This window comes from Homo sapiens, chromosome 3, assembly GCF_000001405.40.
Source record: "Homo sapiens chromosome 3, GRCh38.p14 Primary Assembly".
In the NCBI taxonomy this organism is placed as follows: domain Eukaryota; kingdom Metazoa; phylum Chordata; class Mammalia; order Primates; family Hominidae; genus Homo; species Homo sapiens.
The window spans coordinates 49,671,898-49,689,531 of NC_000003.12; the positions used below are offsets into that span (position 1 = coordinate 49,671,898).

The 17,634-nt window shown below is 58.5% G+C and overlaps 3 protein-coding genes across 20 annotated transcripts in view, besides 5 other annotated features; 2 read left to right on the forward strand and 1 right to left on the reverse strand.

The window, feature by feature from the left end:
* The window catches only part of BSN (bassoon presynaptic cytomatrix protein), a 118,654-nt gene extending 117,421 nt beyond the window's left edge, over nt 1-1,233 (forward strand). Inside the window, exon 12 of the mRNA XM_047449150.1 lies at nt 325-1,233. The gene's annotated coding sequence lies outside the window, so the exon portion shown is untranslated. The remainder of the gene's footprint in view (nt 1-324) is intronic.
* On the forward strand, nt 1,220-12,074 carry APEH (acylaminoacyl-peptide hydrolase). Of its 6 annotated transcripts, none has more exons than XM_047448065.1 (22): nt 1,220-1,360; nt 2,125-2,213; nt 2,299-2,516; nt 3,797-3,890; nt 3,994-4,069; nt 4,159-4,322; nt 4,481-4,618; nt 4,712-4,803; nt 4,880-4,920; nt 5,006-5,127; nt 5,676-5,736; nt 6,955-7,052; nt 7,696-7,747; nt 8,644-8,732; nt 9,204-9,342; nt 9,825-9,908; nt 9,990-10,070; nt 10,451-10,539; nt 10,649-10,839; nt 10,946-11,048; nt 11,143-11,249; nt 11,340-12,074. In XM_047448065.1, exons 1-22 carry the CDS (start codon nt 1,312-1,314, stop codon nt 11,443-11,445), a joined length of 2,283 nt encoding a protein of 760 aa, XP_047304021.1. In that variant the 5' UTR covers nt 1,220-1,311; the 3' UTR covers nt 11,446-12,074. The 6 variants fall into 6 exon arrangements, with proteins under 6 accessions (XP_047304021.1, XP_011531960.1, XP_016861774.1 ...); XM_011533658.4 differs by having other exon boundaries at nt 2,315-2,516; NM_001640.4 differs by lacking the exons at nt 1,220-1,360; nt 2,125-2,213 and adding exons at nt 2,592-2,724; nt 3,286-3,412 and having other exon boundaries at nt 2,454-2,516.
* Nucleotides 2,139-2,748: a silencer, noted in NCBI's record as "silent region_14370". NCBI's record gives its function as "represses an Ori minimal core promoter by ATAC-STARR-seq in GM12878 lymphoblastoid cells {active_cell/tissue: GM12878}" and the evidence as "EXISTENCE:reporter gene assay evidence [ECO:0000049][PMID:35858748]".
* MST1 (macrophage stimulating 1) lies at nt 12,050-17,577 on the reverse strand. Of its 13 annotated transcripts, none has more exons than XM_017006460.3 (18): nt 16,701-17,577; nt 15,853-16,000; nt 15,659-15,771; nt 15,467-15,581; nt 15,252-15,388; nt 15,054-15,170; nt 14,787-14,905; nt 14,416-14,584; nt 14,165-14,295; nt 13,963-14,065; nt 13,699-13,835; nt 13,574-13,609; nt 13,325-13,485; nt 13,115-13,192; nt 12,841-12,987; nt 12,653-12,759; nt 12,474-12,556; nt 12,050-12,292 (listed from the first exon to the last, which is right to left on the reverse strand). In XM_017006460.3, the coding sequence occupies exons 1-18, from the start codon at nt 16,792-16,794 to the stop codon at nt 12,131-12,133; spliced, it is 2,157 nt and encodes a 718-aa protein (XP_016861949.1). In that variant the 5' UTR covers nt 16,795-17,577; the 3' UTR covers nt 12,050-12,130. The 13 variants fall into 13 exon arrangements, 12 of the variants coding, with proteins under 12 accessions (XP_016861949.1, NP_001380510.1, XP_047304114.1 ...); NM_001393581.1 differs by having other exon boundaries at nt 12,417-12,556; XM_047448158.1 differs by having other exon boundaries at nt 12,417-12,500; nt 12,709-12,759; nt 13,365-13,485; nt 15,050-15,170.
* Nucleotides 13,987-14,700: an enhancer, noted in NCBI's record as "H3K27ac-H3K4me1 hESC enhancer chr3:49723317-49724030 (GRCh37/hg19 assembly coordinates)". NCBI's record gives its function as "activates a minimal SCP1, AML or CMV promoter by ChIP-STARR-seq in naive H9 embryonic stem cells {active_cell/tissue: H9 hESC(naive)}" and the evidence as "EXISTENCE:reporter gene assay evidence [ECO:0000049][PMID:30033119]".
* Nucleotides 14,701-15,414: an enhancer, noted in NCBI's record as "H3K4me1 hESC enhancer chr3:49724031-49724744 (GRCh37/hg19 assembly coordinates)". NCBI's record gives its function as "activates a minimal SCP1, AML or CMV promoter by ChIP-STARR-seq in naive H9 embryonic stem cells {active_cell/tissue: H9 hESC(naive)}" and the evidence as "EXISTENCE:reporter gene assay evidence [ECO:0000049][PMID:30033119]".
* Nucleotides 14,969-15,088: a silencer, noted in NCBI's record as "silent region_14371". NCBI's record gives its function as "represses an Ori minimal core promoter by ATAC-STARR-seq in GM12878 lymphoblastoid cells {active_cell/tissue: GM12878}" and the evidence as "EXISTENCE:reporter gene assay evidence [ECO:0000049][PMID:35858748]".
* Nucleotides 16,931-17,490: an enhancer, noted in NCBI's record as "H3K4me1 hESC enhancer chr3:49726261-49726820 (GRCh37/hg19 assembly coordinates)". NCBI's record gives its function as "activates a minimal SCP1, AML or CMV promoter by ChIP-STARR-seq in naive H9 embryonic stem cells {active_cell/tissue: H9 hESC(naive)}" and the evidence as "EXISTENCE:reporter gene assay evidence [ECO:0000049][PMID:30033119]".

Below are 17,634 nucleotides of genomic sequence, written 5' to 3' on the forward strand. Positions count from 1 at the left end.
AAGCCCTACACCTCTCTGCCTTGCTCCGAATTTTCCAACCCCCAAACTCTCACCGGCTGCCAGACCTTAGGCCTTCCTCAGATGGTCAGGAGTACCTCCTTACCGAAGTCACCCAGAGTTGCTAGACCTTTTTTTTTTTTTTTTTTTTTTTTAACACAGATAAACAGGAATCCCAGCTTCACCTCTGGCCCTCTCCCCAGAATTAACATTTTGATGCGTGTCCTTCTTTCCTGTTTGTTGTTCCAGTCTTCATTTTAAACAGAAGCCAGAAGGTGCAATATATCCTGTTTTCTAGCTTTCTGTTTATTTCCACGTTTATTTCAGGTACTTAAATGTTCGTCTTCCAGTGCTCAACCTCCAGAGAGATACACCATTAGTTCATAGCCAGTCTACCACACACAATCTAAGGAACAGGCACTATGTTCCCAGTGTTCCTATTATAAACAATGCTTGATGAACATCCTATTTTCCAATCTTTCCACCCAAATTGGTGGCTGGGGCCACTCATTCTACTCCTGTTTCTGGCCTTGATACAGTCCTGTACATACTGACAAATGCAGTGGCGTCAGAAAGTTGGGACTCTTTTTTTTTTTTTTTCTTGAGACGGAGTTTCACTCTTGTTGCCCAGGCTGGAGTGCAGTGGCATGATCTCGGCTCACTGCAACCTCCACTTCCCAGGTTCAAGCGATTCTCCTGCCTCAGCCTCCCGAGTAGCTGGGATTACAGGCGCGTGCCACCCAGCCCGGCTAATTTTTGTATTTTTAGTAGAGACAGGGTTTCTCCATGTTGGCCAAGCTGATCCCGAACTCCTGGCCTCAGGTGATCCACCCGCCTCAGCCTCCCAAAGTGCTAGGATTATAGGCGTGAGCCACCGCGCCTGGCACTTTTTTTTTTTTTTTTTTAAGATGGACTCTGGCTGTCGCCCAGGATGGAGTGCAGTGGCGCGATCTCGGCTCACTGCAAGCTCCGCCTCCCGGGTTCACACCATTCTCCTGCCTCAGCCTCCCGAGTAACTGGGACTACAGGCGCCTGCCACCATGCCCAGCTAATTTTTTGTATTTTTAGTAGAGACAGGGTTTCACCGTGTTAGCCAGGATGGTCTCGATCTCCTGACCTCGTGATCCGCCCGCCTCGGCCTTCCAAAGTGCAGGGATTACAGGCGTGAGCCACCGCGCCCGGCCGGCCGGGACTTTTTTTTTTTTTTTTTTTTTTTTTTTTACTTAACTAGTTATCTTGAGTAAGTAATGATGCGGCTGATGGGAAAGGGGAAGCTACAGGCCAGACAAGTGGACTCTCAATCACAAGCACGCCATGGAGCAGGGAGCCAGGGCCCTGAATGTGGAAGACCAGCCAGACTCAGGTATATGGAGGGAACATCCTTACTGTCCAGCCTCTCCTGATCTCTGTTGGCACCTTAGCCCAGCCAATCCTGTACCACGTGCACAGGGAACCTGCCTGCCTAGGTTTTTTCCACAGGAAGCTCCCTGGTCCTGGGTGGAGTCTGAGCCCACCAGGCCTTTCACACCCAAGAGCTCAGGGTGAGGCCTGGGGAGGAAGGCAGGGACCCACCAGCTCACGGTCCCCAACAAGGTGCCACTGAGAAGGCTGGGTAAAGGCTGCGGGGATAGATAGCTCTTGCGGCAGGCCTGGCGACTGATAAGTCCGGGCAGCACCCTAAGAGTTGGCACCCGCCCCTCTGCCCCGCACCCCAGGGCTTTGCTTCGCGCCCTCCGCCCGGACCCTGGCCCTTCTCTTCTTCGTCTGCGTGGAACTCCCTCCAGGGCAGGGCCTGGCACTGTGTAGTGAATGTCGGCCTCGTGGTGGACCCGAAGGAACCCTACAGTCAGCCCCAGAGCCGCGGGAGATCCACGCTGCGGCCGGCTCCGCCCCGCCCAACCCTCACCCTCACGCTCACGCTCACGCTCACGCTCACGCTCACGCTCACAGGCTCCCGGCTCCACATTCCTCGCAGGGCTCCAATCCGGACCCGCCCGCCTTGCCCTTCATCCTCAAAGACTCATTGGTCCCATTCCCCTCGGGCCCCGCCCTTCGCGTGCTTGGGCCATGCCCGTCCGACCGCGCTGCTTCCGCCTTGCAGCACCCCCTCAACCCCTTCTCTCGTAGGCCCTTCTACCCTCCCCGAAGCCGGGCTCCCGGGTTCCGCTTCCACAGGGCCGCCCCCTCTCCTCCGAGATCCAACGCCTCGCCCCTCGGTAAGAGGCCCAGGACTCAGCCCACGGCCCCGCCCCCCACTTGGCTAGTCCGCCCCTGGCGAGACCCCTGCTCTCACCCACCCAGGACTTCTCGCTCCCAGGCCGGGTCCTCTCACCGTCAAGGCCCGCCCCCTGCCAACGGTCCTCACCCATTAGCCGAAGGCCCCGCCCCTCACAGATTGCCGCAGGGCAGGGGCGGAGACAGCCCGGGCCGTCCCAGGCTCCGCCCCCGGAAGCCTCACTTCCGGGCGCGAGCACGCCCCGCCTCGCCCCGGCGGCAGAGAGGAGACTATGGAACGTCAGGTGAGGGCTCGGCCCGCGGTCCCCGTGGTCCCTGCAGCCCGGGCCGGGCCTGACCCTGGTGTGTCCCCTGCGCAGGTGCTGCTGAGCGAGCCCGAGGAGGCGGCGGCTCTGTATCGGGGCCTTAGCCGCCAGCCCGCGCTGAGCGCCGCCTGCCTGGGCCCGGAGGTCACCACGCAGTACGGCGGCCAATACCGGACGGTGCACACTGGTGTGTGTGCGAAGGGGAACTGGCTGGCGACGGGGTCGCGCACTGGGGTGGGAAGGAAGGGGGTGTGGAGGGCTCGCTGCTTGACAGTGCGTAAGGGTATATAGGGAGCCGGCCTGGACTTGGAGGTTACACTCCCACAGGTCCCTGCACACAGGTGTGTGGAGGGGGGGAGGGGGCGTGCGGGGCGTTATCGAATGGCGGCCATGAGTGCACGAGATGACGGCGTAGGGGTAGAAGTCAAACCTGGGCTCAGGGCGTGGACCTTGTAGGGCTCTCCACCAACACGCCATCCCATACACATGCCAGGCTGCCCTCAAGATTCCAGGGTGGATGCTGGGGTTACTAGGGGGTTCTCTCAAAGAGGCTGTCAGCTCAGGCTCTGGAGGCCTGGACTAGGGTTGTGGCCAAGTGTTGTCCAGCCTGCAGCCAGGGTGTCAGTGTCTGGAGACAGATTGAGAGATTGGGGAAGATAGATCTAGGCCTTCCTGGGTCAGGTGGGGCTGGGGGCAGTAGCCAGGAGTAGCCAAGACAAGGTGAGCAGTCTCATGCCTCCCCTCACAGAGTGGACCCAGAGGGACCTGGAACGCATGGAGAACATTCGATTCTGCCGCCAATACCTGGTGTTCCATGACGGGGACTCAGTGGTGTTTGCAGGACCTGCAGGCAACAGTGTGGAGACCCGGGGGGAGTAAGTTTGAGGGAGGAAGCTTGTGGGCAAGGCCACAGCCGTCCGCAATGCAAGCCTTTTATGAATGCTCACCATGTGCCTAGAAGGGAGGCCAGCAGCCAGGTTCTTGCCCCCTTGGGAGCTCATTCAGTTTCTGGTGACATGGCCTGATAAGCACTGGAAGCTTGCTCCAAACTCAGCCTGGACTAGAGCCCATGGTGGCCTGGGGAGTTGCAGAGAGTAGAGTCTCTGCCTCAGGGAGGAAAGGCAAGGTGGGGCTAGAGGTGCTCCAGAAGCTGGTGTGGGGCCAGAGCCTCAAGAATCTCTCCTAAGAGGTGTGCCCAGTAGGGAGCAGGAAGGGGTTATTGCAAGATAATCCTGACCTGTGCTACCCCATGTCCACAGACTGCTGAGCAGAGAGTCTCCTTCAGGCACCATGAAAGCTGTGCTGCGCAAGGCTGGAGGCACGGGCCCTGGGGAAGAGAAGCAGTTCCTGGAGGTGAGTCTGCATGGGACCAGGTAGTGGGTGACAAGAGAGAGGCTCTGCCCCACAGATAAGGCTCTGTTAGCGGGCAAACAGCCTAATGCCCAGATGTCCTCAGGTCTGGGAGAAGAACCGGAAGCTCAAGAGCTTCAACCTGTCAGCGCTGGAGAAACATGGGCCTGTTTATGAGGATGGTGAGGCATCTGGCTGGTGAGCAGGCAGGGTGGACAGGAGGGGTAGCCGTAGCCCTGGGCCCCCCCTGATTGGCCCTCCCTGCACCCAGACTGCTTTGGCTGCCTGTCCTGGTCGCACTCGGAGACACACTTGTTGTATGTGGCAGAGAAGAAGCGCCCCAAGGCCGAGTCCTTCTTTCAGACCAAAGCCTTGGACGTCAGTGCCAGCGATGATGAGATAGCCAGGCTGAAGAAGCCAGACCAAGCCATCAAGGTGCTCGTGGTCAATCCACGAAGGCCCGGCAGGGCAGCCCTGGGGCTCAGTGTGCTCCCTTCCCATACTGTGCCTGTCAGACCTGGGGAGGCACTAGCTTTTAGGAAGCAGAGCAGGTCCTATAGACAGGCTGGGCATTGAGTATCTTGTGTTCTCAGGGGGATCAGTTTGTGTTTTATGAAGACTGGGGAGAAAACATGGTTTCCAAAAGCATCCCTGTGCTCTGCGTGCTGGATGTCGAGAGTGGCAACATCTCTGTGCTTGAGGGGGTCCCTGAGAATGTGTCCCCTGGACAGGTCAGCAGCAACAGCCTGTGTCCCCCCTGGAGTCTGGGACCCTTCTTGAGCTACCACCCCTTGCTCACTCCTGCCCTTTGATCCTGTTTACAGGCATTTTGGGCCCCTGGAGATGCTGGTGTGGTGTTTGTGGGCTGGTGGCATGAGCCCTTCCGGTTGGGCATCCGCTTTTGCACCAATCGCAGGTGAGGGAGTGGGGCAAGGCAAGGGGCCTTGCAGCCCAGCTGGCCTTGAGACTGAGTGTCTGTCTCGTGGTTCCAGGTCAGCCCTGTATTATGTGGACCTCATCGGGGGGAAGTGTGGTAAGTGGCTGATGCCCACCTGTGCTTTGCTGACACATGTTGGCCCTGCCAGCCTGCGTGATGCTCATGTTTCCATCTGGCCCAGAGCTCCTCTCGGATGACTCCCTGGCTGTCTCTTCTCCCCGGCTGAGCCCAGACCAATGTCGCATTGTCTACCTGCAGTACCCATCTCTGATCCCCCATCACCAATGCAGCCAGCTGTGCCTGGTGAGCTGGAGGTGGCAGGGATGGGAGGGTGGTCAGCAAGAAGATGGGATGGTGGATGAGAGCTGAAGGGCCAGTATCATCTCCCCATAGGCCCTCAGTAGGTGCCCTTCTGTCCTCAATGCAGCAGCGGTGTGAGTTCTGCCTGTCCTCTCAAGGAGGGCCTAGAGGTTGAGAGTGCTGCCATGGAGAGCTTTGCACTGTTGGGGCATTCCACCTTGAGAGAATGCTCGTCTGCAAGAATGCTCCTCCCCTTGGCTCTCAACTGCATGTAGCCAGGCTCTGCAAGGGGCTGGGATATAGTGGGGAGTTACACAATCCCAGACCCTCCCCAGGAAGAGCTCTGGGCCCCTGGTAAAAGTCAGAGGGACATGCCTATCTGAGGCCCCTTGGGCATCTGGTCCAGGTCACCAGAAAAGAGATACATCAGGCTTATTCCAGTTCCCCCATCTCCTGGGGCTACCTGAGGCAAAAGGGGATAGGCACAGGGCACTGTGCCCTAAGGGAACTGCCTGTCCCCTACTGGACCTGACCATTGTGTTCTCTTGCAGTATGACTGGTATACCAAGGTTACCTCAGTGGTGGTAGATGTTGTGCCTCGGCAGCTGGGAGGTAAGGCATACCTGGCTGGGTGGGTGCAGTGGGGCCTGTAGCTCTGCTTTCCTGCCGTCTGTTGCATCCCTGCCCCGTTCTTCTTTCCTAGGTTCCTTCTGAGGGCCCTACCTCCCTGCTGGGCCAGCCTTATGCCCAGCATCCTCAGGGAGCGGGGCTGTCACCATAGGGAGCGGGGCTGTCACCGTAGGGAACAGTTCAATAGCAAGGAGTGGTAGGACCAAGCTGAGATCAGAGTGGCCCAAGTTGATGATGTATTATTTCCTGTGCTGCAGGTCATAATTAGAGTTTTCTTATTTTTCCAATGGCTGGTTCAAACCAAAACCATGACTCCTTCAAGTGGGTCTCAGGAAGTGCACTAGGTTGGAATGTCACACTCGAGAGGCTCTGGACCCGAGGGCATGATATTATCCCATCCACCATCCTAACCCCAGCAACCTTTGTCCAGTCTAAGCCCTGAAGTCAGCTGGGTCTTCAGGAGGGTGGCTCTTGGCTGAGAGGCTCCCGTCTCGAGTGTTGATAGCTCTGCTTGGATCCTCCTGGACCATCTCAAGGATGAGTCTCTTGTTTTCTCAGGCCACCCGGTCAGTTCCAGGAGTTCAGTGGACAAGGGATAGCCTCTTTGTCTTCTCTTTGGGTTGCAGGGATGCAGTGGTGGGAACCTAGTATGAATCCCAGCTCTGCCCTAAATTAGCTGTGTCCTCAGACAGGGTCCTGGCCTCCCTGAGCTCCCATTTCTTCATGGAGGGGTGATTGTGTCTGCCTGCCTCATAGGATCATAGTGAGTGTTAAGTGAGTGATGATATTAAAGGGTAGGATTTACTGAGCCCCCTGTGCCAAGCGCTGTGCTAAGCACCACAGTGGAGATAAGACGGACAGATGATATCTTGGTTAAAGCACCTGGTACCTACCTGGGTTCAACTGGAATTACTCAGGAGAGCAAGTGCTTTTCCTCTGAGCACCCATGGTTTCTCTCTGGAGCTCTTGAGCTCTGCCTCTCTGGGTCCTCTCTGGGTCCCAAGAGGCCTCTGCCCCTCAGCCACCTACTCAGGCAGCTCCTCATCGCGTAGCGTGCCCCCATGTGTGCTACAAGCTGCAGGGGCCTGACTGGTGCCTGAGTAGGGCCCTGGGTGAATTCCCCAGTACCCTAGCCTTCCTTGTAGACTACCCTCCCTACCTCCACTCCTGGATGCAGCCTCAGCCCTCCTATCTTTACAGAGAACTTCTCTGGGATCTACTGCAGCCTTCTGCCTTTGGGATGCTGGTCAGCTGACAGCCAGAGAGTGGTCTTTGACTCGGCTCAGCGCAGCCGGCAGGTGAGGGACGCTGATTGTGTTGAGGGGCAGCCCCTGTGGTCAACCCCCAGGAGCCCTGGGGGTTGCATGTGCATGCCCCTGGGTGGAATGCCCAGCCACAAAGTCTCATCAGCCCCTTAAAACCCTGCCTGCCCATCCTGGACTCATTTCTCCTGGAGGGGACTGGCTGCCCTGGTGCACCACAGCAGAACTCAGGCCTTTTCGTCTGAGGCAGAGATGCAACCCCTCCCAGGCATTTCTAGCTGGGGGTCAAGGGGACTGCCACTCGGGTGGGTCCCTGAACACTCTGTAATGGCAGCTGATGGGGACAGGACTGAGGCCTTCCCCCAGGGATGGAGTAAAGCCACTCACAGTGTGCCAGGCTCCTTTTGGGTGTGATATTTGGTCCTTGTGCCAACTCAAAGGGGCTCAAAGCCATTCCTTACCTTGCCCAGGGTCACCCAGCAAGTTGTGATGGTGCTGGGATTTGAACCCAGGCCCTCACACTACTCCCTACTGCACTGAGTAACCATCACCATAGCTGTCCACAGCCTTGGTCTGGCCAGGGCTCTCCAAGAGGGTAGAGAGGAGGTAGGGGAGGGACCCATAGGTAGAGGGAGTACTCTTGGATGTGGTCGCACCTGTGGCCTTGCCTCTGCTTCAGGACCTGTTTGCTGTGGACACCCAAGTGGGCACTGTGACCTCCCTCACAGCTGGTGAGCAAGGCTTTGGGGATGGGGGTAAGGGCAGGGCTGGTGAGCAAGCCAACCAGGCAGCGGGGGACTGGAGCTCCAACATGTGGGGCAGTGATGGCATTCTCAGCCACTCAGCACCACTGACTGTTCCACAGCCTTTACTAACAGGTCCCCAAGGCCCCTGTCTGTGCAGACCCTTACCCAACCAACAGACTAGCTTCCCTGCTCTACTGCCCTTTAGCACTCAACTCTGTTCCATGTGTCCTGGCCCAGCCTCAGCACGGCCCCCACCTCTGCTCCTAAAACCCACAAAACTCTCTCTTATCAAGATCTGCCAGACTCATCCTTCTCGCTCTGCAAACCTTGGGTGCCTGTCTCAGGCAGAGGCAGCTCTGCCACCTGAGGGCCCAGGAAAAGCCCAGTGTTGACTCCCCCGTCTTCCCCATACTTAGGCCTGGTGATTCTGCCTTTGAAATGTGTTTTGAGTCCTCCACCTGACCTGACTGTATCCGCTCCTCCACAAAGCTACCAAAGTATCATTCCAAAGCTACATCTCATTGTACAACTGCTTGGACACCACTGCCCCAAATCAGCACGCTCCCCGACCCCCAACTTCCCGGTCCCAGCTGCCACCCTGCACACAGCAGCCATCGAGGGACAGGCAGATGTGCCTGCATGGTCTGATGTGTCTTAAGGTTTGGCAGTTCCCAGCCCAGCCAGTGTCTGTCAGATGAACAACAGACTGAGAGCAGGAGGCTCACCCGGGGCCATGTGCAGTTGGGTGTTTGTGAAAGGCACTTCTCGGGGAGAAAAGGGCACCTTTCCATAGAGTCTCCAGCCTGGGACTCTGTTACAGAGAAGCAGGTAAGAAAGGTGATGGCTCCTGCTAAGCACTTAATGGCATCTGCCTTTTCCAGGAGGGTCAGGTGGGAGCTGGAAGTTGCTCACAATTGACCAGGACCTCATGGTGGCACAGTTTTCCACACCCAGCCTACCTCCAACCCTGGTGAGTGTCGGTGGGTCCCAGGCTGTGGAGGCAGGGGTTCTGGGCAGGCAGAGCTCACCAGGTCAGGGAATTGGCCCCAGAGTCTGACCTGGCTGGTCAGCATACAGACGGGCCAAGACACAGGCCCAGCTTGGCATGGTCCATGAGGGTTTGGCACTCACAGGGACGAACTACTAGGCTAGAATCTGCTCCGTACAAAACAAGGTGCCTGGGGAAGTGCTCTGTCTTGGTATTACAGAGCAAAGGAGACAGCAGAGCCTAGAAGCTGAGGAGGGAGGGGTGTGCCTGTGTGTGATTGTATGAGTATGAATACCTTGGTATATACCATCCCACAACAGGAAGCCATGCTGTACCTTCTGGAGGTGGGTAGAGGGCCCAGCATAGTGAGAGCTGCCTATTTCCCACTGTGGGCAGAAGGGAAGGGCAGGGAGGCAGCCAGGCCACCTATGACACATTCTTTCCCCTTGGCAGAAAGTTGGGTTCCTGCCTTCTGCAGGGAAGGAGCAGTCAGTGTTGTGGGTGTCCCTGGAGGAGGCCGAGCCCATTCCCGACATCCACTGGGGCATCCGGGTGCTACAGCCACCCCCAGAGCAAGAGAATGTGCAGTATGGTGAGCTGGGCCAGGGGCAGAGGGATGCCTTCTCCAGGTTCCCCAGCACAAAGCCTCTGCGGTGACCTTTGCTACCTCCTCTCTCACATTGTGGGGTTTCTGGTGATGACCTCTAAGAGGTTTTCTGTTCCTCTTGTGGATGGGCATGGGAAGTAGCATCTAGACATCTGAGCGCCTGCTCTGGATATCACCTGGGCTTCACCAGGCCAAATCATCTGTGGTTGGAAGACCCAGGTCCAAAGAAAATAGGCCTCATACAAGCCTCAGTGACCACACCTCATCCCGAATGCTGTTGCTGCAGGATGGGGTTCCCTGACGAGGGCAGAAGAAGTATGAGCCTTCTGGGGTCCATGTGTCATGGTGTGGACTACCTTGGCCAGGTCTCTGACCCAGAGGTCAGCCCCACACCTGCAGCTAGAGATGGGGCCTTAGTTGGGGAAGCCCCTAGGCTCACCCTGCTGACTGCTGCCCTCTCCCTGCAGCTGGCCTTGACTTTGAAGCAATCCTGCTGCAGCCTGGCAGCCCTCCAGATAAGACCCAAGTGCCCATGGTGGTCATGCCCCACGGTAGGCATCTGGCGTTAAGAGCCCTTGCCCTCCCAGCCCTCTTCCTAGCTGGCCCTTTCACCCTCCGCTCCCTGTCTGCAGGGGGGCCCCATTCATCCTTTGTCACTGCCTGGATGCTGTTCCCAGCCATGCTTTGCAAGATGGGCTTTGCGGTACTACTAGGTGAGTGAGCAGGGACCCACAGTTCTGTTAGGACTACAGTGGAGTGACGGGGGTGGACCTGGTTTGTATAAGTACCATGGGTGCCACTCTAGTCTCCAGGACTTTCTCTAGCCTAGACCTAGTAACCACTACCAGGAACTGCTGGGGCCCAGCCTCTGGTTCTGTGGCATAGTGATAACAAGGACTAACTCGGGACTTCCAAGGAAAGGGCGCTGTGGTCACTGGGTGGCAGCCTCAAATCTCTGAGTCCCTTCCCCTTGACCCCTTGACAGTCTGTGGTATAGCTGGCCCCAGGGCCTACTTCACAGATGTGTGAAAAGAGCGTCGAGGGGGCTGGGAATGTTGCCTGACTACACTGTCTGGTCCCTCCCTGCCCTCAGTGAACTATCGTGGCTCCACGGGCTTTGGCCAGGACAGCATCCTCTCCCTCCCAGGCAATGTGGGCCACCAGGATGTGAAGGATGTCCAGGTAGCAGGGGCTGGGGCTTCTGGACAGGCTGAAACATGGGCTGCCAGGGGGATGCCTCCATTCAGCTGAGCGGGCAGCTGGCTGCAGCATGCTTTGTCCCACCCTGCAGTTTGCAGTGGAACAGGTGCTCCAGGAGGAACACTTTGATGCAAGCCATGTGGCCCTTATGGGTGGTTCCCATGGTGGCTTCATTTCCTGCCACTTGATTGGTCAGTACCCAGAGACCTACAGGGCCTGCGTGGCCCGGAACCCCGTGATCAACATCGCCTCCATGTTGGGCTCCACTGACATCCCTGACTGGTAGGCATACACCACAGGTCCCTGCCCTTCCCTCCTCTACCTCAAATTCTCATGGAGCCCCGTAGCCCCAGAATTCCTGGGGCTGCAACAGCTCGGTGTCTTGCAGGTGCGTGGTGGAGGCTGGCTTTCCTTTCAGCAGTGACTGCCTGCCAGACCTCAGCGTGTGGGCTGAGATGCTGGACAAATCGCCCATCAGATACATCCCTCAGGTATGCAGCCCCCTCCTTGCCCTGTGTGCTGCCCATCCATCCAGAATCCAGGGCCCAGCTCAACACAGCTCCCCACTCTTCCCCAAACACCCAGGTGAAGACACCACTGTTACTGATGTTGGGCCAGGAGGACCGGCGTGTGCCCTTCAAGCAGGGCATGGAGTATTACCGTGCCCTCAAGACCCGGAATGTGCCTGTTCGGTGAGTGCAGCATGAAGGCCCTGGCAGCTGGTGGGCAGGTGAGCACAGGAGGACCCTCCAACCTTAAATGTTGCTGACTAATCCCTACAGGCTCCTGCTCTATCCCAAAAGCACCCACGCATTATCAGAGGTGGAGGTGGAGTCAGACAGCTTCATGAATGCTGTGCTCTGGCTACGCACACACTTGGGCAGCTGAAGCCCTGCCATTCTGCATGAGCTGATCAGCCTGTGCCACACTTCGCTCTTGAGGAGCTCAACGGTCTGGCAGGGCAGCAGGAGGCTTTCTGGGCTCTGGACTCCACGGATGCGTGGGCAGAGGAATGTGGGCTATGTAGTCATAATAAATTAGGACACAGAGCCTGGTTCCTGCTGGTACTTTGTACCAAACCATCCCCAACCCCACCTCCCACTCTGGGGTGCAGAGACCCTAGGTTCTGGGTGTGGCAGCCACAAGGGCTTCATCTGCCTCCAGTGTGAGAAGGGAGGGAACAGTGAGAGGCTTAGCCTCTGCCTGTCCTGGCAACCAGGACTCTGTACCAGCCTAGCTTCCCTGCTGCAGCCCCTTCCATTAGCAACTACTCTGTACCACCCTTCCCAAGAGTATGTCTGGAGGACTAGTGTGAGGCCCTGTCTTTCCACGGCACCCATGGGCAAAAGTAGTCCCAGGGACATTGCCTTGGTTGGGGAAGCCCCTAGGCTGGACAGATCACCTAGCCCAGGGTGTGCTGGGCTCAAGCCACCCGAGCCCTAGCAAGGAGTCACTGACACATTTCCTGGAAGCAAAGGCTAAGAAGCATCTGTACAGGCATAAAGAGGAAACATGGCTTTATGTCTGACAAGAAGTTTTGTCCTCCCCAAGGCATATGGCATCAAGGCTGGGCCTAACCCAGTCTCATGACCTTGTGAATCCAGTCCACAAACACAGAGACACGCGTGAAGACAGCTGGCCAGCGGGACCTTGCGCATACTCGGTTGGGGATTATAATTCCTTCCAGGACCCAGCAGTTGTGGGTAAAGCAGGCAAGTGGGCCCCCGTAGTCACCCTGGCAGGTAGGAGAACTGATGAGGGCCCCGGGCCACAGCAATGACTAGCCTGCTTCATGATAAAATAGTTCATTTCTAGCCCCCCATACCCTTCCAGGGCTGGCCCAGGGCCCTGCCACCAACCTCACAGGCCCCCACAGGGGCCAACAGTCCCTCAGTGCACATCTCACTCTCCCGCACACGTCCTCGGTGCTTGATGTTACACTCCTGGTTGGAGATGACATTCAGCAAGGCCACATTTAGGACTGTGTCATTACCCGTACCTGCAGTGAGGGGAATGGGGAGAGGGAGAGGGTCCTGCAGGAAGATCCAGGGCTGGGCCTCCTGGCCACCAGCAGTCCTGTGCACTGTGCTCTTACCTTTGGTCTCACCCCAGCCTGCAATCTCACACTTGGTCCCTGGAGGCACCACATACCATTCAGGGGGCAGGCAGATCAGGGCCACACGCTGGTTCAGGGTCACAGATCTTTAGCAAGAATGGGGGCACTCAGGGTCTGAGGCCACAAGGCCCAGCCCCACCTCACACCCTCCCAGGTTGTCCACATACCTCTCCAGCTTGAGCAGGACAAGCTGGGAGCCTGAGGGCCCACACACCATCTTGGCTACTGGGACCCGCTGTAGGCTTGGCTCTCCATGCTGTGGGTTCTGGAACAGGGTGCCCAACCATACCTCATAGCCCGTGAGAGGCATATGGCTGGGAGAGAAGCTCTGCTAGGTCATTTGTGACTCTCAGTCCATTGCCCCAAGGCTCACTTGTTAGCTTGCCTGGGGAAGGGGGAAGGTGGGATGAGACTGGGTCCCCAAACACAAGGGAGGCTCACCAGGAGGAGAAGCACTGCCGGGCAGTCAGTATCCACTGCTCCTTCACTAGAGACCCCCCGCAGAAATGCTGGCCCTGCCTAGAGGAGTGGGGAATTAGGACAGGTAACAGACTCCTGGGACAGATGCTAGACCTGCCATCTTCTGGCTAGGACCTCTGGGGGCAGGGATAGATTCCCAGCCCCCAGTGGGATAACCACAGAGGACACAACCTCAGCTCCTCTCTGTGGGAGACAGGCAGTTGTGCCTCACCGATTCCGCAAGCTGACTGTCCAGGGTGAGTTGCCCGGATGGCCCCCAACCACGCGCAGCTTGGAACGCCGCTGATCCAGCCGATCCACCCTCTTGCCACACTTCTCAAACTGCACCTGGTCTGTAGGATGGGGTGGGCTGGATGAAACCCAGACTGTGTGGATGTCGTGGGCTAAAGGGCCTGACCCATAACTGGCCCAACTCCTAACCTGGGGGGTCCAGGATTGATGGCGGCTGGTCATCAGCTGAAAGACAAAGTTCACTGGGGTTAAGGGAGCCAGCCTTTGGGTGGGGGCTGAGGCAGGGTCATGGGGGAAGCGTCACTAGTGCTCACCGCAGCGTCGCAGGGCACAGTAGTCGAATGGGGTCCTTGGGTCCATCGTGTAGCACCAGGGCCCATGGCTATCCCCATCTGGGTTCCGGCAGAAGTTCTCCTCCAGTTGTGCATGCGGTTCGGAGGTAAACGTGAACCTAGGCGGAAGCGGGAGCAAAATCGTGGCAGGGTAGTCTCAACCATTTCCAGGCTCTGGTCCCAGACACCAAAGCATGCCGCCCCAGGGTTAGGGCCCTGGCGGGGCCGGGAGCACCAGGGACTCACTGCGGCTTGTGCGGCGTCTCAGCGGACCAGCGCTGGCACTGGACACCCTTGCGGGTCTTGCTGACCGTGCCGCGGTACTGCTCCCCTGCGCCGTGGTAGCAGTCTGTGGCGGGTGCGGGCAGCCATCAGGCCGAGACCTCGCCCCGGCCCTCCGGTTCCAGGCTTCCAGCCCGGCTCTGTAGCCCCCAAGCTTGGGCCTCACCCTGGGGCCGCACGTCGTCTGTACAACGCCGGATCTGGTAGCAAAAGGCCGCGCGCATGCCGGGCCGCAGTGTGAAGCACCAGGGCGCCTCTGAGCCGTCGGGGTTCCGGCAGAAGTTCTCCCGAAGGTCTCTAAGCAGGCGCTCCACTCAGCCCTAGCCCGCCAGCCTCCAGCCTTGAGCCCGTGACTACCTTCCTCCCGTCTCACCCGCAGCAGCACGTCCCAACGCCCGCCCCCCCCCCCCACCTCACTTGCACGCGTATTTTTCTGGCGTAAATCGGTGCTGATGCGGGATTTGCGCGTCCCAACGCTGGCAAGGTACGCCCGCAGTGGTGGTATTGGCTGTGCCCCGGTAGCCCTCACCCTTCCCGCGGAAGCAGCTGACAGTTGTGGCCTCTTGGCGGGGCTGTGCCTCGGACCCTTAGATGGACCGAGATAGGTCGGGCCCCGAGCGAGAGCTGAGATCCCTCTGGGGCTGGGACCAAACCCGCCTTTCCCAGGTGTACGGTACTCCACGGGGTATGCTCTCAGGTCACGCCCAGCCCCTCTTACCTCCCCGGCCAAGCCACGCCCCTCCCCAAGGTTCCCAGGTACCCTCCCAGGCCTGGTCCCCGCCGCCTACCGCAGCGGGGGAGGTCACAGAACTCTCGCTCGATCTGCGGATCCGTAGTGTAGCACCATGGCCGCTCGGAGCCGTCAGGATTCCGGCAATAGTTGTCGTCCAGACCTTGGTCGAGGAACCTGGGGGCGGTAATGGGGCGTGAACAAGACCCTGGGACTCTGGCTTATCTGGCCCCGCCCAATTGCCCTACACGGAGCCCTGCCCCTGGAGTCCTGGACCTTCCCTAGCCCGGCCCCCAGGACGCCGATACCGCCTACGCGTACTTGCCCGGCTCGAAGGGGTGCTGGTGCGGGTGCTGAAGATCCCAGCGCTGGCACTCGCGCCCTGACTCCGTGCGGTCTACCGCGCCGCGGTATTCCTCGCCATTGCACCAGACACACGCGGCTGGAGACAAAGAGCCAGTGGGTTCGTGGATGGACGTGGGCTTGTCCCTCCACTCTCCCAGCTTGACCCGGCGCCGCTTACCCTCCCGGCAGGATTTGATGCCGCAGCTCTGGAAGCGCACAGCAGGGTCTGTTGTGTAGCACCAAGGACCTCCGGGGTCGCCATCAGGGTTACGGCAGAAGTTCTCTTCCAGGCCATTCCGGAGAGTGGGCGTGTACCTGAGGGCCCAGAGCATCACTATAGTGTGTGCTGGGGGAAGGCCCCAGGCCGGGACGGAGGGAAGGTGTTTGTCTCACTTGTGATCATTTGGGAACTTGTGGCTCCAAGCCTGGCAGGGCAGGCCACCCACGGTCGTGGCCATGGTGCCCCGGTACCCAACCCCATTGTTCATGATGCAGGTCCGTACGTAGTCTGGGAGCAAGAGACAGAAGATCAACTTGGGCTGAGGTCCCCTGTCTCCCACCCTGCCCCTCTCCACCCCCACTTGCCTTTCTTCTGGAAGAGGTCACAGCGCCCAGAACGCCGCAGCCTCGTGTGGGGCGAGTGTTGAGTCCATGGCAGCAGTTGGCAACCATGGCTGCTCACGTTGTAGTGGAAGGCCCTGGAGAGAAGAAGGCACAGGGTAACGCCACAGCCCAGGCTTCCCTGCCCCCAGTCTTATCTAGGCCCAGTGGCCACTCACCGGCAGTCCATTAAGGGCCCACAGCGACCAGCACACTCTTCAGCATCTGCCACATCCTCCTGCCAAGGCCCGGGCACCACCGCATGTAGCAGGTGCTGTAGCTCTGTGCCCCGGAGCACTTGGAAGTCATTCAATGGCGAGCGCTGCCCTGCAGAGTAGGCATGAGTGGGTGCAGGTCAGGTGGGCATACATGTCAGTAATGTGTATTGGCATGTCCACACTTTGTTCATTCAGGGGATCAAAGCTACAAGGCTTCTGGGATGGACCCTGTATGCACTTTCAAGGGCCAGTCTAGCCCCCTGCACAGATACTTGTGAAAAAAATTTCCCCTGGGAAGCAGGCCCAGACTTGGTAGTTATCACCGGTGCCTCTGTTTAGTGGCCCAGGCACCGGGCTCAGATCTAACACATACGCTCTGTGAGAGCAGTGGGTGATGAAGCTTGCCCCACCTCATCTCTCAAATGAGAATGCTAAGGCTCAGAGCCATCACATTACCCAGCCAGGGGCCCTGGCTAGGCATTCAGACTCCAAATCTGGGCTCTCACCTGCACAAAGGCATATGCTAGGTTAGAGGGGTAGATCAGGCTCAGGAGGGGTCACTGCCTGCTGTGTGCGTGCATCTGTGTGGTCCTGACACTGCTTCAGTGCTAGAGCAGACGTGCTAATAGAGGCCTAAGTGGGCAATGTCTATGTGTTCCTAGGGCTTCCCAGCTGTGCTCAAGAGGGCAAGGTCACTGCCCCATGCCCACTGAGCCTCTGGCTCCCCGACTTTTTTCTCATCCTAGAATAGGAGAATGGGGCCAACCCCCTCCTGAAGGCAGATGGGGATCAGGGTTGGGGGCACTTACCAGGGACCCCTAAGCATTGAGTCAGAAGCAGCAGGAGTGGGAGCCACCCCATCCTTCTGGCTGGAGGCTGCACTGTGACCCACCACAGCCCCATCCGGGAAGTTGTGAAACCTGTCCCTACGGGATTGGGTGGCTCTGGCTCCACACGTCAGCTCAGGGCCTGCTGGACCCTGACCTGAGACCTGGTGACAGGAGCCATGAGGGGCCAGGCCTCAGGTCCCATAGGTCAGTTGCAAGGGCCTAGTACAGCTTAGTGGACAGGTGTTAGGAAGGTTTGGTGGGGACACTTGAGGTGCCCTGGGGTTGGGGTGAAACCCCTCTGCAGCCTAGTCAGCCCAAGGGCATTGTGAAAGTGAGAGCTGCCAGAGGTCTGGGCTCCAGCCCCTGGGTGACATTAAACTTTTCTGAATTTCGGTTTTTCCCTGTAAATTGGGGAAAATTACTTGCCCCAGCTTCAACACTGCCTCCCCTCCACCCTTTTGCTGCTGCCTTATCAGGCCCCAGCTGTAGGCAGGTCAGCCCACACCCGGCGGCAGAGCCCAGAGAGGCTCGCTCATCTCAGCCGCCAGAAGTGTCATCCCAGGGAAGGTGAGCGAGGCTGTCCACTAGGACTAAATAGGGGTGGAGGTAACAGGTAGCAGGGACTCTGGCAGGAACGGCCTTTCAGACGTTTTAAGGACCGTCTGAGCGGGGCCTCTAAGTATGGGTAGGAGACAGGCGGCCTAGGGATTCCGGTTAGCATGTCGCGTTCTGCCGCAGCAGGGCTGGGAGCATCCCCAGAGCAGGCGGAGGTCGGAGGTGGTGAGGCCTTTCGGCGAAGCTGAGGCCTGGAACAACCCGGTGGGAAGCCATGGAGGGGGTCCCCTAGCGGAGGCTGGGCGCGGGCCAGTGCGCGTGCGCGGCTGGAGGCTCAGCGCGCAAGCGTGCGCGTGAT